Below are 18,988 nucleotides of genomic sequence, written 5' to 3' on the forward strand. Positions count from 1 at the left end.
CTTTCTTTTTTGCAATTACTTTGATAAAGGTAAAACTCAAATCATTTGCTCTTTGTTAACTCTGGTGGACTTTTTCCTTCTAGGTTTCTACCAGAATTCATACTGCAGCGAGTTTGATCACGAGCATCTCTAAGTTATCCAGCAAGGCAGAGGGGAAGAAAAAGCAGCATGATCAAGTGCACTGAGAATACAAGGAGAGGACAAAGGGAAAGGCATGTGAATAAAACAAATAAGAAGAATCAGACATATTTACTATGAAGGGGCCCAACAGATTGTCCATACTTTGTGTGTGGAGTGAGTGGGGGAGAATTCATTATTAATCTAAAAAACAAAGGGAAACTTAACTTATTTTTAAATTTTAAAAAGGAATAGCTTGAGATAAACTAAACTTAGCTATTAACATATAGTCCTGAATATGGAGTTATTATTAGTGTGAAAAAGGAAAGATCTACAGAGAGAAAAGAAAAGGGGTGGAGGGAGAAACAGATAAGAAAGAGAAAAGAAAATCTGGCACTAACAATCAAAATAAAAAAAGTGAAACTGGCTGGGCACAGTGGCTCATGCCTGTAATCCCAGCACTTTGGGAGGCCGAGGCGGGTGGATCATGAGGTCAGGAAATTGAGGCCATCCTGGCTAACACGGTGAAACCCCGTCTCTACTAAAATACAAAAAACTAGCAGGGCATGGTGGCGCACGCCTGTAGTCCCAGCCACTTGGGAGGCTGAGGCAGGGGAATCCCTTGAACCCAGGAGGCGGAGGTTGCAGTGAGCAGAGATTGTGCCACTGCACTCCAGCCTGGCAACAGAGTTAGACTCCATCTCAAAAAAAAAAAAGAAAGAAAAAGTGAAACTAGTATTCTAAGGGTTATATGAAGAAACAGAAGTCAATTATTCTAAATAATTTTCTCTTAATATATAAACAGTTTTACATCCATTTTAAAACTACCTTTAAGTCCCAAGTTTTTATCATATGAAAGATAAAAATTCATGTTGTAATTTGAAGTTGAAATGTATTTGCTATAACATAGTTTCAAATAATTAGGTTACCTTAAAATGATTATATAAAAAGATGAACAAAAAACTAAGGAACATCCATTATTTCTCAGTCTTAACATAAAAAGCAGCCTTGCTATCCATTTTCGCCATCACAAAGCAATCTTTATTTTTCAAATTCATGAATCATAAGCACTCCAACTTCCATTTCTCATACTTACAATCCTTCCCTGCTGCCATCAATCAGGGCTTGAAATAAGGGCTTGTTATGAGGTATGGTCTGTAAGATATTCCCATCCCCAGTCACATAGCCAATGGCCCACTGTCCCAATCGAGTGCAACTTAACCGGAAAATATAGCTGCAAAACATAAGAAAATTACATCTAATTACATTCAGAATATAAATCAATACTAAACAATTTGTTAGGTTTCTTCCAAGCAAAAGAATAAACAATCATTTAGAATTCCTGAATACTCCTCATATTCTGTCTTCTAACTTATTTTTAGCAACAATGTACTTCTCCATTTATCAATTTACAAGAGAAACACTGATCATTTCTTTTTATTTAAATACTTCCAGATACATATATAAGAAAATAAACAAGATTGTAAACTAGGGATTTTTTTACCATCATCATCAGGATGCGGTGTATGGAAATGCTGATGGCATGGAATAGCTACAAAATAAATCACTCTTGGAATGTAAAAATAAAATAAATAAGTAAAAATTTAAATTTAATTTGCCTACCTCAGACAAAAACTGAGCCAGTTTCTACTGTAGAACTCAATATATTCCTTTGTAATTTAGACATAAAAATTAGGGTTTTTTTTTTTTTTTTTTTTTTGAGACGGAGTCTTACTCTGTCACCCAGGCTTAGAATTCGATATATTCCTTTGTAATTTAGACATTAAAATTAGTTTGTTTGTTTTTTTTGAGACGCAGTCTCACTCTATCACCCAGGCTGTAGTGCAGTGGCGCCATCTCGGCTCACTGCAACCTCCGCCTCCCAGGTTCAAGCGATTCTCCTGCCTCAGCCTCCTGAGTAGCTGGGACTACAGGCGTGTGCCACGACGCCCAGCTAATTTTTTGTATTTTTGTTGTTGTTGTTATTTTGTTGTTGTTGTTGCTTGTTTTGTTTTTGAGACAGAGTCTTGCTCTGTCGCCCATGCTGGAGTGCAGTGGCGCAATCACGGCTCACTGCAAGCTCCGCCTCCCAGGTTCACGCTATTCTCCTGCTTCAGCCTCCCGAGTAGCTGGGACCACAGGTGCCCGCCACCACACCCAGCTAATTTTTTTGTATTTTTAGTAGAGATGGGGTTCACCGTGTTAGCCAGGATGGTCTCGATCTCCTGACCTGGTGATCTGCCCGCCTTGGCCTCCCAAAGTGCTGGGATTACAGGCATGAGCCACCGCGCCTGGCCAATTTTTTGTATTTTTAATAGAGACCACGTTAGCCAGGATGGTCTCGATATCCTGACCTCATGATCCACCCGCCTCGGCATCCCAAAGTGCTGGGATTACAGGCGTGAGCCACCGCACCCGGCCAACTGTTAAAAAAATAGTAACTTTTCTTTCAGGTATTCCTGCCATTCATCCCTAAAGCTCAAAAGTGCAAACTAGGTAATTTCATGCCTGCCATCTAACCATGTCAAATTCAGTATCTTACAAGGGGAAGTTAAGATAGTTCAAAAATATAAATCAAATCAAGTCCCTTGAAACTAATATCCAACAAAAGGAGGCAGCAACTTGGCTTTAAATCCATCATTATCATTTATGTATTCATTTAGCTATCTATGTACTTATTTCATTTTAGATCATTTCTCTTTATTTGAGTGTACTGCATTCAATCTTTCTATCAGGATATCCTTCTGGATTTTATTACCCATTAAGCAGATCAAAAACAAACCAACTTAAATCTGTTGGCTATATTTTAATATTCGAGCTGCTGTATGTATGTGGCAGACACAAGTATGTCAAAATATACTTTAGTCATTGATAGACCAAGCACTATAAATGTAACTTGAAAGATATACTTTAACATACATAATGGCTGCAGTCACTGGATTTAATTAACTTGTATATTTAGTAGTAGAGTGTAATTTCATCTTTGGACAAACTAGAATTTAAAAAAAGAAGTGATTTTTAAATATTAAAAACTTTATATTGGTGATAGAATCTTTGGAAAGAACTTTTCAAAAAAGTCTAAAAACATATATCCCTAGAGAAACTGAAAATAGGATATCAATCTGTCAACTATTGGCATTCTTAATCAAAATCAGATAAAATAATGCCACAGAGACCTACGGCTATGATATTATGAGAAGTGCCAAAAATAATAGAAAGTCACTATAAATTATAATTCAGAAGGACATTATTAAAATGTTACATAAAAAAATTAATGATAAAATTCCTTCAAATTAAGTCAAAAGTTAAAATCTTAAAAATCTGTGTACTATGAATCTCAGCAAAGTTTACAGTGTATTAACATGAAGAAAATAATTACACATCTGCATTGCTAGTAATTTTAAATGTAATTCCAAATTTATTCATATAGTAAGAATCTAGTAGATACTGAAATACATACTTGTGAAATTGCTCACATTTTTAATTCATGTCCTTCTCTGTTGCTCTAAACATTGTTTTGGGATGGTGTTTCTAAAACTCATTATTATACAGAAGGTTCAAGCAATTCATGTATATAAGAGATAGTAATACCAGCAATCTGGTAAGAGCCAAGGGCATTTTAGAACAATTTCTTCCTCTCATGCACCTTTTTCCTATTCCATTTAATTTGCTGCTGACCCTTTGGCTGGTGGCTACCCCTTCCCAACCTCAAGTGAATTTTTGGCTTATTTTTAGCACCTTGCTCTCTTAAACAACATGCTTCATTTAATCAAATTGGGGCCAGGAGTGGTGGCTCACACCTGTAATCCCAGCACGTTGGGAGACTGAGCAAGGTGGATCATTTGAGGCCAGGAGTTCGAGGCCACCATGGCCAACATGGCGAAAACCCGTCTCCACTAAAAATACAAAAAAATTGGCAAGGCATGATGGTACATGCCTGTAGTCCCAGCTACTCAGGAGGCTGAGGCATGAGAATCGTTTGAACCCAGGAGGTGGAGCTTACAGTGAGCCCAGATAGTACCACTGCACTCCTGCTGGGTGAACACAGTGAGACTCTGTCTCAAAAAAAAAAAAAAATTAAAAAAAAATATATATATGCATATAAAATGAAGTATCTTTCATGTTGACGAGGTGGTTTAGGGTTCAATGCCACTCTTGTCACCTAATGAATACTTCACTTAGATTTCCAAATGTTACTACCTTCACCCCATAACTCATATTTTGTCAGATGGATCCCCAATAATAAAGCACAACCTAAGGAGCCAAAATGTCCTTGAAGTAAATCCAATTGTTTTCTATACTATGAAGTCAAAGACATGAAATACTTTCCAAGATAAAAAAAAAAAAAATGTTAAACACAGATATTCTCCAAAGCAAATATTTGTTACAGTTTTTTTTTTATTCATTAAGGGTGTTTTCCTAAACACATCTTTAGTACCCATGTCATACTTTACACATTATAATTTGTTATATATTATTTATTTCATCATTAGCTACCTAAAATTTAGTAGAAAAAATCATTACATGGCAAGTTAGGAAGGAAAGAAGGATTTTTTTCTCAGAGGACATTATTCTAGTTTTTTAAGGTATGACTGATATACAAAAAAGCTGTATAAAATGTATATATTGTACACATTTGAAGATAAGTTTACTGGTGGGTCTTATGATATTCTTATCAGAGGGCAGTAGTTTTTTACTAAGAGAACTTTTCCAAATAGTAATGAGACCTGGCTGTTGTTCTCAATATTGTAATTCATGTTCTCCATGATACTGAACAAGAAAACAAAACCAAAAATAAAGGCCTCAGTTCCCTCATTATTTCTATGATTGGACAAGAAAATTTATCAAATAACTCACATGTTAAATTTTGTATGACTGCATAATTCCAACCACAACACATTTTTCACATCATACGCCAAGAGCAAGAAAGATACTTTATATGATGTCATTCAAGAGAGTAAAAACTATGGAAAAATCTGGTCATGAGAGATTCTTGAATGAAAGAAAATCATTCATCTAAACCACTGTCAATATGCAAAATAACTGACCTTCTCTCATGGTTACAATGAGAACTAACTCTCCTTAGTCTAAATAGAAGATTTCAGTGGAAGCCAAACTGTTTTTGTATTCACTAGCTCCTTTTTCAAATACACTATATAAATTCTTAAAAAGACAAAAATATGGAAATTTTCATAATGGCAGAGAAGAAAAAATCAGCACTATTGGCTTGCACTTAAAAAAAAAACTGTTTTGGCCAGGCATGGTGGCTCACGCCTGTAATCCCAGCACTTTGGGAGACCAAGGTGGGCAGATCACGAGGTCAGGAGATCAAGACCATCCTGACCAACATGGTGAAACCCCATCTCTACTAAAAATACAAAAAATAGCTGGGCGTGGTGGCACACACCTGTAATCCCAGCTACTTGGGAGGTTAAGGCAGGAGAATTGCTCGAACCAGGGAGTCGAAGGTTGCAGTGAACAGAGATTGTGCCATTGCACTCCAGCCTGGTGACAGAGCAAGACTCCATCTCAAAAACAAAGCAAAACAAAACAAAACAAAAATGTTATAAAGTACAAACATTATATACACCATAAACCAAATAAAAATGATACTAGAAAAAAAAGGCAGTCTTAAAAACCAGCACCAAATTCATCCCTAAAATGGAATGTTCTCTATATGAAAATCAGAGCACTAATGAATACCAGAATAGCATCTGAAATGTGAGGACTCTGACAAGCAGGTCTCTAATATCCCTACTGCCGTACTCAGCATACTGCCTGCCATAGCACAAATGCCTACTATGGGCCTAATGCATTTTTAGATGAAATACATGGGAAAATGCACTGAACCATGGAAGAGACAGATTTTCTGGATCCAGATTTGCCATTAATAAGGTGTAATTTCTTGGCCAAAGCCACAGGGGCTGACCAACCTCTCCAAGTCTCATTTAGTTTCATCATGTGGAAAATAAAATATAAATTCTGAGGCTATAATAAAACACGAGGCATTATGAAAAAAGTTTTCAAGGACACGAAATTGGTTTTGATTATAACAATAGGTTTATATATGCTTATGTACATACATGTATTTGTTCATAAACTTACATGTATATTTATGTGTTCATGTGCATGTATATGTACTTATATTTATCAGAGAGCCTAAATGAATGTCTTAAAAATACCCTAAAGTAATGAACATAAGACTGTTCTATTTATTTGTTCTTTAGCACAGTATTCAAGTATTCAAATATATACATTCAATTTTGCACATAAACACGGATATCATGAAAACAGAAAGGAGACCATATCCCCTTTCACTTTATGAATACCAAGTTTCAGAGTAAGCACAATGTATCAATTTAAAACATTATGTTAAGAAGCACCATTTTGGTCTTTTACCTTTTCTAGCCCCCTCCCAAGCATGCCATCAGCGGGTATTGCTGACTTACTTAGGAACAAACCATGGAGAATTTTTCATCTTTGGATATATCACATAATATTACTGCTAAAAAGTCTTACCTTCCGGGTTTGGTGCTATATTTCTGTAGTCGTGCTTTAACTTCATCATATGTGAGAAATGCCATGTAACCTGGATGTGTCACAGCTAAGAAATTCCAATTCCGCAAAATAGAGCCCCAAGGCTAAAAAATAAAAAAATTAAAAGAGATTAGTATCTAGAGAATATCAAATATTTTGATTACATACTGAACCATATTTAATACACTTAACATTATCTTGGATATTTTAAAAGTTAATCTGACCTTATGTGGTTTAGGTCAACCTTTGTTACTTAACAGCAGACGTTCAAGTCTATTGTTCTTTACAGAAATATGATTAGGCAGAAAACAGATTTTTCAGGAAGAGAATACAGAGAACAAAAAAGAAAACCACAAAATCTCTTCTCTACACAGCCTATTCTCGCTACGGCACTTGTGACCATTGTAAAACACAAATGAAATAATTCTTTTGTTCAAAGCCTTCTAACTTTGAATAAAAGTCAAAGTCCTCATATATCACTTAGAAGGACTTTACAAGGTTTGATCCCCAGCAGTTCCCTTTTTTGTCTCCATCTGCTATAACTCTCCCACTTTCTGCATCTTCTCCAGCCTGCTATTGTCTTGAACAAAAAAGCCCTCTTCCCCCTCAGAGACTTTGTATTTGCCGATGCCTTTACTTGAATTTTCTTCCCCCAAATATCCATCTCATTCCTGTCTCCAAATGTCACTTCCTCAATGAAGCCTTCTCTGACCAGTGTATTTAAAATTGTTACCTCTTGCCATATTCTTCACCTCCCTGTATGTCTGTTAACTGTTAACAACTGCTTCATTTTACACAGTAAGAAACCATATCATAGAACTTGCATGACTTGGCAAAGGTTACACATTAACCATAAGCTACATAAGGGCAAGGGACATGCCTGTCTTGCTCACCCATGGGATGCCAGGACCAATGCAAGTGTCAGATAATAGTAATCAGCCAGGGATAATTGTCATTGAACAGATAGATCCTCTAAATAGTGACTTGTGTAAAAGGCTAGTGTTAACACTACAGTAGTCACATCTGGCTTAACTGTACAGAACTATAAGCTTAGGAAAGGTTTAGGGTTTAAAAGTGAGTTACATAAAAACAAAACTTTTCACAGAAGTATTTGGTTTGTACCACTGTATCATTCTCTCTTTAATCTGATTAGTTGTCTCTCCAGTTACCAGGGCAAGAGAAAAAAGGCAGTCAGTGATAGACAACTTTACTCAAGGGTGTGGATGAATCATCTCTGCGATTTTTTTAAGGCTGACGCTACATTTATTCCAAGGAACTGGCAGCATACTCTATCTGATGTGCCAGATTATTAAATCTTCTACATAAAAGAAAAAAAAAGTATTTTTACGTTGCCATGTTAAAGCTGTTAAAGCAGTCATCCTAGACATGATTACTGGTAGAAAGTTCCTGCTTTTGTTTGTTTTGAGACTTGTTCCTCATTATTGTTAAGCAAGTTACAAATTTACAAGGCAGAATTCTGCAAGGATTATATCCCTTGAGATGAGGATAACAAAGAATGATTTAGTAATAATGAAGTTTTTTAGCCTTTTTCAACATAACAAGAAAAATCTTTGGGGTATTTCCCCATCACACTAAAATACCTAATTGGGCAAGAAAGGCGCTCTAGAGAATAATAATATGAGAGGTTGAAAAAAATGCATGTTTTTAATTTTCTTCCTAATGCATGACTAAAAACTGCATTAAACATTACTTGGAAAATGTCAGCATATATTTTAAAAAACTGAGCAATAACTGTTATTCTAGACCCTAGTTTTTGTTTTGTTTTGTTCTACCCATCTATGAAGGACAAGGATGAAAGAAATACCAAACAAATATTTGGGTCACTTCCATTAAAGTCCACACAAATTAGTGGAAGAGTGTTTGAAAAAAAATGCTAAACTTTATAGAGCACCAATGCACAGATCAAAATACAAGTAAAAAAATTAAGTTGGAGTTTTGAGCCAACTGCTACAGTATTCAGCAACCATTTCTTAGTACATAATCCAGAGGGCCAGCTTCTAATTGCAAAAATATTTATGTAATAGAATGAGTCTGTGTATTGTTTTCCTTGTATGCAGCCCATTCAAAACAGAAACATGTAGTACTTATGTGCTTTTTCTTTTTAAAGTATTTCGACAACTACTGGCTTAAAAAAGGCAAAACAAAGTGCTTTGGAGAGTAACTTTTTTTTATTTTGTTTTTCAGATTGAAGAAATTTTTTTGTGTACAAGAACATAAAATTATCTAGATACTTTTAAATGACTATAGAAATTAATGAAGTGAATAAAGGAGACAAGTCCCTCCATTCTCCCAAATGCTACTATTTTCAAGAAGAGCCAGTTACTGACTTACAACTTAAGTTGGAAGAGGGTCCTTGGCTGGTCTGCCTAGACACTCTCTATAATTCTTTACTACAACTGAGGACTTTCCTCTTCTTTGATTTTCCTCACTATTCCATTGATGCTACACATTCCATAGTCAATAGGATATTCTACTAAAATACTCCGTCCTTATCCTGCTACCCCCAAATGTAGTGCCCCATTTCTCAGTGACCCCATTTTTTCTAACAGTGGGGATATAGAGGAAAAGGGGAACAACAGCCCCAGGGAGAAGGAAGGGAGAAGCAAAATCCCTATAATTTCTTTCCAGGACTAATATTAGCATGTGCTGATTCCAGCATCTCTAAGTGACTTTGAGAGAAAAGAGAAGGATAAAGAGAAGGAAAGAAGGAAGAAGAGGAAATGAGGAAGGTGACCACAGTAAGATCCCTCCAGTGACTCCCAAGTATTTGTTCAGGTTCTGCCTGCATATAAGAATGAAAGCCAAGAGGAAGCAAACATTTTTACTTCTTTCATTCCCTCTGCAATTCTCAACTTCATCTCCTGCCCCCCCACTGGCTCCTTCTTCTGCTAGTTTCTCTACTTCAGACCCCAAATTCTAAGTGTACCTTGCTCACCTTCAGTTCCCTTTCTGCTAAATACCCCACTCCCAATAATTTAGTCAGAAGTCACTGCCAATTAACTACTAATATCATGGCTATAGCTGAATGTATGTTCCCGCAGTCACACAGTATTAGCAAAACATATTTTCATACAGAATATATAAATGTAAGGATTTAATAAATATAATACATTTAAGAAAATCACTTAATTTTTAAAGTTTTATAAAAATAAAAGATCAGCAAAAGTTAAACCATCTACTTCTCTATAAACAGAATCAATTTTATCATATTTTAAGGCACACATACGATTATATTCAAAGCATTTGATTACAGCATAGAAATAAATGGAATGATGAATCTCAGAAATACACGGGCTAACAAGAGTTCTTCAGCTGCTTCTGTAATCATGTTTTTAAAATGATTAGGCATTCCCTAGCCCAGGTAAGATTTTCATTTTATGATATAAAACTTTTCACAGTAGCTTGACTTAAAAATAGCCCTTTCTTTTCCCATCCCAGTGAAAGTAAATAAGATATATATTCCTTAGAGTATTAAGGTTGACTTGTGCTGTTTTAAAGTAAAACAGCTTATAAGAAAATATGTCCACATACTAAATAGCAGTTTAGGTAATCGTTTAACCAACATTAAGTTGCCCTCATACTTTCAATATATAACTGCAAGGAATTCTAGCATTTAATACCCACAGTAAAAAGTCATCCAGGCTCACCACAAAAAAATATACTCACTTCCTAGAATGAGCAGTTAGGTTTAATGTAGGAAGATTACTTTTACTCTCTTCCTTGACAAGGTGAAGAAGCAAAGCTCTTACTATTTAGAATGTCTTTGTATCATGTTAAATAAATAAGATATTCTGTAAAATTATCAGAAACCTTTAAAGAAAGGAGAGGTTCCATTATAAAATGACCAATATCAGACAACTTTTTTTTCTAAAATATATCTTAAAATCTTTGAAAAAAACATAAACTGTCAAACTGTAATACATACACCAAGGGAATAATCACGAATTTAAAAAATTTAAAATAATCAAAAGCACACTTTCATCAGTGATTTATGTAATTGCTTACCCTATATAGAAGGTAGAATTATGATTCTGTAATTGTAATGAAGTGAAATATATCCTATATGTATTTTTTTTTTTTTGAGACAGAGTCTTGCTCTGTTGCCCAGGCTGGAGTGCAGTGACACGATATCAGCTCACTGCAAGCTCTGCCTCCCGGGTTCACACCATTCTCCTGCCTCAGCCTCCCAAGTAGCTGGGACTACAGGTGCTCATCACCACGCCCAGCTAATTTTTTGTATTTTTAGTAGAGGCGGGGTTTCACATCCTATATGTACTGTTGACAGGAGTTAATCTCTCTTCTAATAATGGGTTCCTTCATAAATTAAAAGCTAATCCTGTGCATTGTGGTTTTTATTACAAAAACCAGTCATCCAATCCTTGCTAGCTAGTGCCAAGCAGAATTATAAATCAGAGAAGTTCATGTAACATGAAAAACATGAAATCAACATTATACTCTGATATTTGTTGAAAGCATGTTTCAAAGAGAATCAATGTTACTTCAGATTAAAATGATAAAAAATAATATCAGAACATAAGTAAGCCCAGTCTGATCAATTTACCTCATTTACTATATAATTTATGTTACCAAATCATAAAAATGTTAAGCAGAAAATTTTTATTTTGTGACTACTTGAACTGAATCCCACAGATGATACACATTTTAGTGGCAGAGTCAATCTCAAAACACAAATTTCAAGTCTTCATGTTTAAGATAATTCCATTAAGGCACGCAAAAGAAGAAAATGATAGTATCCATATAATGCTACCTTCTTCTAATTTGCTATGTGAAAACAATTATGGAAGATAATTTAAAGGGAAAAACAATAAGCACAACAAAAATGTTCATCTTAAAGTTGTTTACATTAGAGAAAATGTGGGAAAAGACCTAAATTTTTCAAAAGAGAGCTTTGTTAATACTGACATACTATTTTGAATGAATATGACAAGGGAACTGATGAAGAATATTTATTGACTTTGAAAAATGTTCATTACACATGGTTGAATGTGCAAAGCAATTTACAAAATAAGTACAGGACACAGTTCTGTCCTATACAGAACAGTCTGATATTTCTAAGTTTACTATTTCCCTTTTGACCTAATAAACACAGAAGGCAAAGGGAAAGATTTTAGATCTAGGTGGCAAATGCCCACCTCCAGTTGTTGCATTCTATCCATCATTGTGCTAAAAGATCAACAAAATAAAGTAAGAAACTAAGTAGAGAGTTTAAAACAAAGCTCTTTTGGATGGATCCTCTCAAAGCTAACAAGCAGCCACCAGGCTCACAGCATCTGATAACTCCAAACTTAAGCCAAATGGCTCACTCTAAACTTTTAACAATGACCAAACATACCAATAAAATTACAGACTAATAGGAATGACACTATTTTCCATATGTTTGTTTATGTGTGTGTGTGTGAGAGAGAGACAGAGAGAGAGAGAAACAGAGAGAAAAGACAGGGAGAGAGAAGAAGGGAATGGATAGACTAAGCAAGTATAAACTTACCTGAAACAGCCTGGTAAAAATATCAAATTCAAAAACTGAAATGTAATCATTGCAAGTTAAATCAATTGTTGATTTTAGAGCCATTGCTTCCAGGCCAGAGCTAATCTGGTGGACCTCATGAAGGCACTGTCTGAATACTTTCCATGGTACGATAGTTCTGTGCAAGGTGGAAAAAAAGGGAAATAATTGAATCAAGTATCATTTAAGAAATACCTCCCTTTGAAGCAGCAAAATTCAATAATAAAATTAATATAATTGTATTTGTACTACCAGACAAATATTTGAGAATATTGTTCATATTTCAGAACAAATGTAGTGGGTTCTGTTTAACTCAATTATTTTGCATTTGCTAAGAATATGACAAAAATTTAAATTAATTTTCTCTCAAACAGTCCTAGGCTATCAAGATAGCTATAGAAACATATCTGAAAAAAGGTATTAGGTCAAAGTCTTATGTGTCATGACCTCTTCATGTGTGTATACAAGGTTATTTAATAATGAATCAAGATTTAATTCTCATTTTCTAAAAACAGTCATAAGATGATGGGTCCATATAATAATAGAAATCCTTTATTCATTGCACAAATGAGTAATATGTATCAACCAATTCAAGAAGGCTAAGGTAGAAAGCCATCAAGACATTTCTGCCACAACCCTGATGTTTTCTGCAGAGATGAAAAACATACGTTATCTAACTTTTCATATTAATACAAAAGAAAAACTTAATTTTTAAACCAACCACAATGGTTATATCATGGGAGTTTATTCAATATTTATTACTTTATTCTGACTGAATATCATTCGACAAAATTTTAACATGTTATGCAGTTACATGATTCAAAAAATTTAGAAGAGCACAGAATGGTAACTAGGGAAACGTCTCTCAACCTATCCCCACCTGACCAGTTTCCAACTCACCTACCCTCTTTCCCACCATGAAAATTAGTGACACCCAGGATGCATTTCTTAGTTAACCTTCCTGCTTCAGAATAATGCCTATTCCTAATTCGGCAGAAGAAAGAAATCATTCAGTTTTTAAAACTTAAACTACAATTTTTACAACAGAATAGCATAAAAGCCGTCCCTCTTATAAGATAACATCCTCTTATAAGATAGCAAATATTTAAATCTTAGGTTTCCTTTACCAGTATCTCTGAAATACAAGACTCAGGCAGAATAAACTAAATTGTGCCTGGCCCCATGCTATATCAATCCTCTTCAATGAGATATCACCATAAAGGTACAACTTTCATATTCATTCAATAATTTTCTATAGCAGTGTTTGTCAAACTTCAGCATGCATCCAAATTATCTGAAGGGCTTGTTAACATAGCCTGATCCTCAACCCAAGATATTATGATTCAGTAGCATTGGGGTGGGGCCTGAACACTGACAGCCATAAAATGTTCCCTGAGGCTGCTGCTGCTGCTGCTGCTCTAGAGACAACACTTTGAGAGCCTACTATATCTATTCATTGCTAAAACAAGGCACTGTTGGGGAAATACAATTATAGAAATAAAGATAACATCTTTGTCTCTGAAGATCACACTTTAGGGACAGAAGTAAAACCTGTAATGCTAAAGAATCTAGAGTGGGGTATGTAAGGACAATGCTAGCTGGGTGATGGATACACAGCAAGGGCTGGAGGGATTCCAGAGAAGCAGTCTGTGGGAAGTGGCATAAATTAATGGTGAGACAGGTTGACAACACTATGCTGTATTTATAAGAGAGTTTAGGTTTCAGGTACCATTAAAAGAAGAAAAATATGAGGCTTAATACCTCAAAAAGTGTTTCTCTATGTATGAAAAAAACAGGAAACCACAGAGAACTGAGGAGAGATACCACATCAGATGCCATTTAGAAGAAACACACGTCAGGCTCTGATTAAGGTTAACAAAATGCTGCTGTTTTTTTTAAAAAAAAAAGGAACACTTTTAAGAATATTAGGAAGCTGTTGATTTACAATGAAGTATAAATATGCAATTATGTCCAGCTTCATTATAATTACCATAAAACTAATGTCTAAGAAGTACATTTTTCTTTTCCAAATTAAAGTTTCAAATACTCAACACACAAAAGGGACATTGATCATGATACTCAGAGTAAAAAAAATATGATCAGGGAACCACTGACTTCAGAACAGTATAAATTTTATTTTTCGTATGAAGAAGTTAAAGCATTTTTGTTTCGTATATAAAGTATACAACGTAAAGTGGTCAAATTGTCAATATTTATTTTGTGTATAACATATAAAGTTTTTTTAAAAAGGCCAAATAGACATCTTCCACATCTGTTACTATAAAAATTATTCTAATCTAGCATTTACAGTGAATTCAATTCATAACTCTTTTGAGCACTCAGTGATTTCCCAGAGCCAGTTATACGAGATGTATGAACTTAAGAAAATTTTAGTCTAATGTACCCCTTCATAATAACAATTTACAAAAGGACAAGCTACATTTCCACAGTACTTGTGTAAATGAAACTTTGTCAGATTACTTGTGATAAACCTCAAATCCAAAGAGGCATTCACTGGAATCTTAATTAGTGGTAGTAATAGGGATTAGGGAGCCAGGGCACTATTTTGTTAACTTTTCATATATGAGTGTTTGCGCAACAGATAACCCTCATTTGATCACTTCAGCAAAACACCCATTATTGTGTAGGAGGTGGGGCTGGGGAACAGAGGTAGGGGGAAGGGGATTTCAAGAATGAAGAATAGAAATAGAGTACAACAACAAAGTCTTTAAAAACAAACAAAAAAATTAGATTATTCTAAACTGTTGCACTAAGGCTCTAAACTTTCTTAAGACTAAGTGGCTACCATTCTTCTCTGAGGTATATGAGAGGAAGTGAACCCAGAAAGCATGAATTTTCACACCTCCATTTAAACTTCTGCAAAAAGACAGTGGTGGTTTCTACTACCTCTTCCTTTAGAGATGAAGCAAATGAGAGAAAATATCAATAGCAAATTGTTTTACAAATGTAGAAATTTCAGGGTGCTGGCAGAGACCTGGGAAGAAGAAAAGGGAAGAGAGAGAGAGAGAGAGAGAGAGAGAGACAGAGAGAGAGAGAGAGAGAGAGAGAGAGAGAGAGAGAAAATAAAAAGGCCAACTAAACTCCAAGTTTTCACTAATCCAAAAATCTTTCAATATATTCTATTGACCCTTACAATTATAAACCACTTAAGTTGCAGGCTGAATCGCTTTTAAAATACAGTGAACAAGTATAAGTAACTGTCAATCTACAAAGAATAGAATACATGACCAATGGATAGCCATGCACCTGTAATAATAATATAATTTCAGGATCTTTTTATTTCAAATAAGAGTAAGAACTGCCATTTATTGATGGCTTACTACCACCTATCTATTACACAGAAATCTATTAATGACTTTTTGTTAAAGTGATAGTTCTGTTCATATAATATCATGAGAGATAAGAACATGATAAATAAGACTATGTTATAATCCTGTTATTAGATAATGAGTTCTAGTCTGTCTACCAAAAAACAATAGTAATCCTCTTTAAAGTCTTGAAAAACAGTATCTTTTCTTTTTTTTTTTTTTTTTTTTATTATACTCTAAGTTTTAGGGTACATGTATGTGCACATTGTGCAGGTTAGTTACATATGTATACATGTGCCATGCTGGTGCGCTGCACCCACTAATGTGTCATCTAGCATTAGGTATATCTCCCAATGCTATCTCTCCCCCCTCCCCTGACCCCACCACAGTCCCCAGAGTGTGATATTCCCCTTCCTGTGTCCATGTGATCTCATTGTTCAATTCCCACCTATGAGTGAGAATATGCGGTGGAAAAACAGTATCTTTTCAAAGACAATGGGATTAATCAGATGCAGGGAAATAAATCTGGAAAGGTGTCAGCTGGTCAGTAGTTGACAAATCACTTAATCTTCCAGGCTTGTTTTCTCCTGTGTAAATGTGGAGAAGTGTATTAGATATTCTAATTTGAAAATCCTGCAATTTTAAGAAAAGGTAAGAAGAATGGAAAATAGAAAGTGTGAGGAGAATGATTTCTTTTAAAAAAAAAAAGGTAAAATATTTTCATGAAACCACTAGTTCATAAAAGGCTACAGGGTTTTAGTTTCAACTGATAGGAAAAAATGAAAAACATTTCATACAACAAAGGGTGAACATCAACAGAAGCCAGGGTGTTTGCAAACAGGAACTTCTGTATACTACTGGTGTGAATGAGAATTTACACAGCACTTCTAGAAGGCAATTTGGAAACAAATTTCAAAAGCCTATACATTATGACTAAGAACATCTACTTCTAGGGATTTCACCTAAGGAAATTATGTCCAAAAAATACATAGCAGCCAAAGGCCCATCCACAAGTCTTTTATATGCAGTGTTGTTTATAAGAGCAAAATATTTGAAAACAAATACGTTCACTAGTAACAATTTTGTGCAGAAAAATATTTATTGTCGTGGAAAAGTGTTCATGGGATACTACTAAATGGAAATAGTATTTTTAAAATTTTGTCCTTTATGATCCAATGTTAAACTATAATGTCTGGAGATGCCACAAATTTAATAACTGGCTTGTGGAAGGGATTATAAGTGATTTCAAAAATATATTTTCTGTATTTGTTCATGGTTTTTAACTTTTTATATGTCTAATATGCTCTAGTGTACTAAAAGAATAGAAGATGTACTAAAACTTTTAAATGTATATAATCGTAGAAGAATCAATGAAAACCACAAAGCAGTGTCTGCTTATGACATAGCTTTATATGTAGAAAATACAAAAATTTTACAGATTAAACTATAGGAAATAAGAAAATTGAACATGGTTGCTGAACACAAAATTGATATAAAATATCAGTTGTAGTTTTATATTGGCTATATATAACTAGAAAATGAAACTTTAAACATTTAATTTTTATAATGCTATCTAAAAGTCCCAAATAAATAGAAATAAAGCTAACAATAGATGAGCAAGGCAAAAATATCAACATACACCCATACACAGAGATATAAAAAACATAAATAAAGGTATGTAACACTTTAATGGTAGATTCATATTATAAAGAGTCAGTTCTTCCCAAATTAGTCTAAAAATTTAATGTAACTCAAATAAACAATCCCAGGAGGTATTTTTTGTAGTAGATACTAAAAACTGGTTCTGAACTTTATGGGACATGCAAGAGTCAAGAACAAAAAAGGTAATCTTCACTAGGAACATTAACAAGTATGTACTCTTTACATTAATTAAGACAATGTGGCATTGGTACAAGCATAAACAAATAGATGGAACAAAACTAAAATTTTAGAAACTTATGTACCCATATATAAACACTGGATGATAGAGTTTGGGTATTTGTTCCCCCCAAACCTCATATTGAACTGTAATCCTCAATTTTGGAGGTAGAGCCCAGTGGGAGGTGATCGGATCATGGGAGCATATTTCCAATGAATGGTTTAGCACCATCTCCTTGGTGCCATCCTGACGACAATGAGTTCTTACAAGATCTGGTTGTTTAAGTGCACGGCACCTCCCCTTGCTCTCTCTTGCTCCTGCTCTCACCACATGTGACATGCAGGCTCTGTTTCACCTTCTGCCATGAGCAAAAGCTCTCTGAGGCCTGCCTGGAAGCCAAGCAGATGCTAATACCATGCCTGTACAGCCTGCATAACCAAGGGCCCAATAAACCTCTTCTCCTTGATGTTATATATCCAGTTTCTGTGTTAGGTTGTTTTAGCAGTGCTATAAAGAAATACCTGAGACTGGGTAATTTATAAATAAATAATCAAATGAATAGGTTAATTGTGGTACAGCTATACAATGAAGGAAGGAGAATGAACAAAGTACTGCTACATGCAAGTAAAGAGTTGAATTCCATAAACATAAAGAGAGGAAGAAGCCAGTTTTTTCCAAAAGAGTATAATTAGTATGATTTCAACTATGTATGATTTATGATGGCATGTATCAGAACTACTGGGTGGTGACTATGTGCGACTTTCTGACGCGCTGAGAGAGGGCGTCTTCCAAGATGCAGGCAGCAAGGTATTACTACTTTATCTGGGTAGGAGATAAACATGGATACATACTGTAAACATGGATTATGTTTACTTCATAAAAATTTCTCACTCTATATGTATGATTTGTGTACTTTTCCCCATGTACATTAAACTTCAATCATATATTTAAATTTTAAAAAATATTACACTAAAAATCTAAGACTAAAAATCAGATACATGGGAATGAACAAAGTAACTACCATAATACAAACAAGGAAATCAACATGTTTGTTTATTGTTGGTTTGTTTTGTTGCTGTGGTATTAGTGGTGGCAGGTGTTTAAGATCCATTGTAGCTCAGGAATATATACTGTCATCCTCATTTTAAACAAAAAGAAAATATGTTCTATATTCAGCAGCCCAACTCTATTTCTAATTTTATGTAAATGTTGTCAGAAAATTCACCTTGATCAACTAAGATATGTTCAATGTCAGTATCTTTAAACAGAGGGCAAGCTTTGTTCAGAAGATAATAGGATATTTGTAACATATTTGATATGTTTTGATTACATTATGGACACAAAATATTAGCGCTGTGATTCCTAAATCTGTTGACATTTTGTATACAGTTATTCCTTAAATCCAACCTTCTTTTATCATGACTCCATTTTTTAAGAATATGAAGATAGATTCTTATGGGACCATTATTACTCTTGCTGTTCTATCAATAAGGGAAAAGCAATTGTTTTCCAGCAACCCACAGAAACAGCATATCAAAACACTCTGGTTACATAGTCACCATACAGCAAGTCATCTTTGAT

General features: G+C 34.7%; 1 protein-coding gene across 44 annotated transcripts in view; it reads right to left on the reverse strand.

Moving 5' to 3' along the window:
• Positions 1-18,988, reverse strand: part of CBLB (Cbl proto-oncogene B) — a 213,989-nt gene that overhangs the window by 83,820 nt on the left and 111,181 nt on the right. For 35 of the 44 annotated variants that reach the window (NR_135810.2, NR_135811.2, NR_135808.2 and 32 more), the window contains 3 exons: positions 12,182-12,338; positions 6,637-6,758; positions 1,214-1,351 (listed from right to left, as the gene is read on the reverse strand). Coding sequence is in view for 33 of the 44 variants with exons in the window: in XM_011513257.2 (XP_011511559.1) it covers positions 1,214-1,351; positions 6,637-6,758; positions 12,182-12,338 (417 nt within the window). In the remaining 11 variants the exon portion in view is untranslated. Of the gene's footprint in view, positions 1-1,213; positions 1,352-6,636; positions 6,759-10,341; positions 10,520-12,181; positions 12,339-15,062; positions 15,195-18,988 lie in introns of those variants that run through there. The other 9 variants (NM_001321808.2, NM_001321820.2, NM_001321807.2 and 6 more) reach the window with 4 other exon arrangements.

The sequence above is a fragment of the Homo sapiens genome, chromosome 3, assembly GCF_000001405.40.
Source record: "Homo sapiens chromosome 3, GRCh38.p14 Primary Assembly".
NCBI classification, from domain to species: domain Eukaryota; kingdom Metazoa; phylum Chordata; class Mammalia; order Primates; family Hominidae; genus Homo; species Homo sapiens.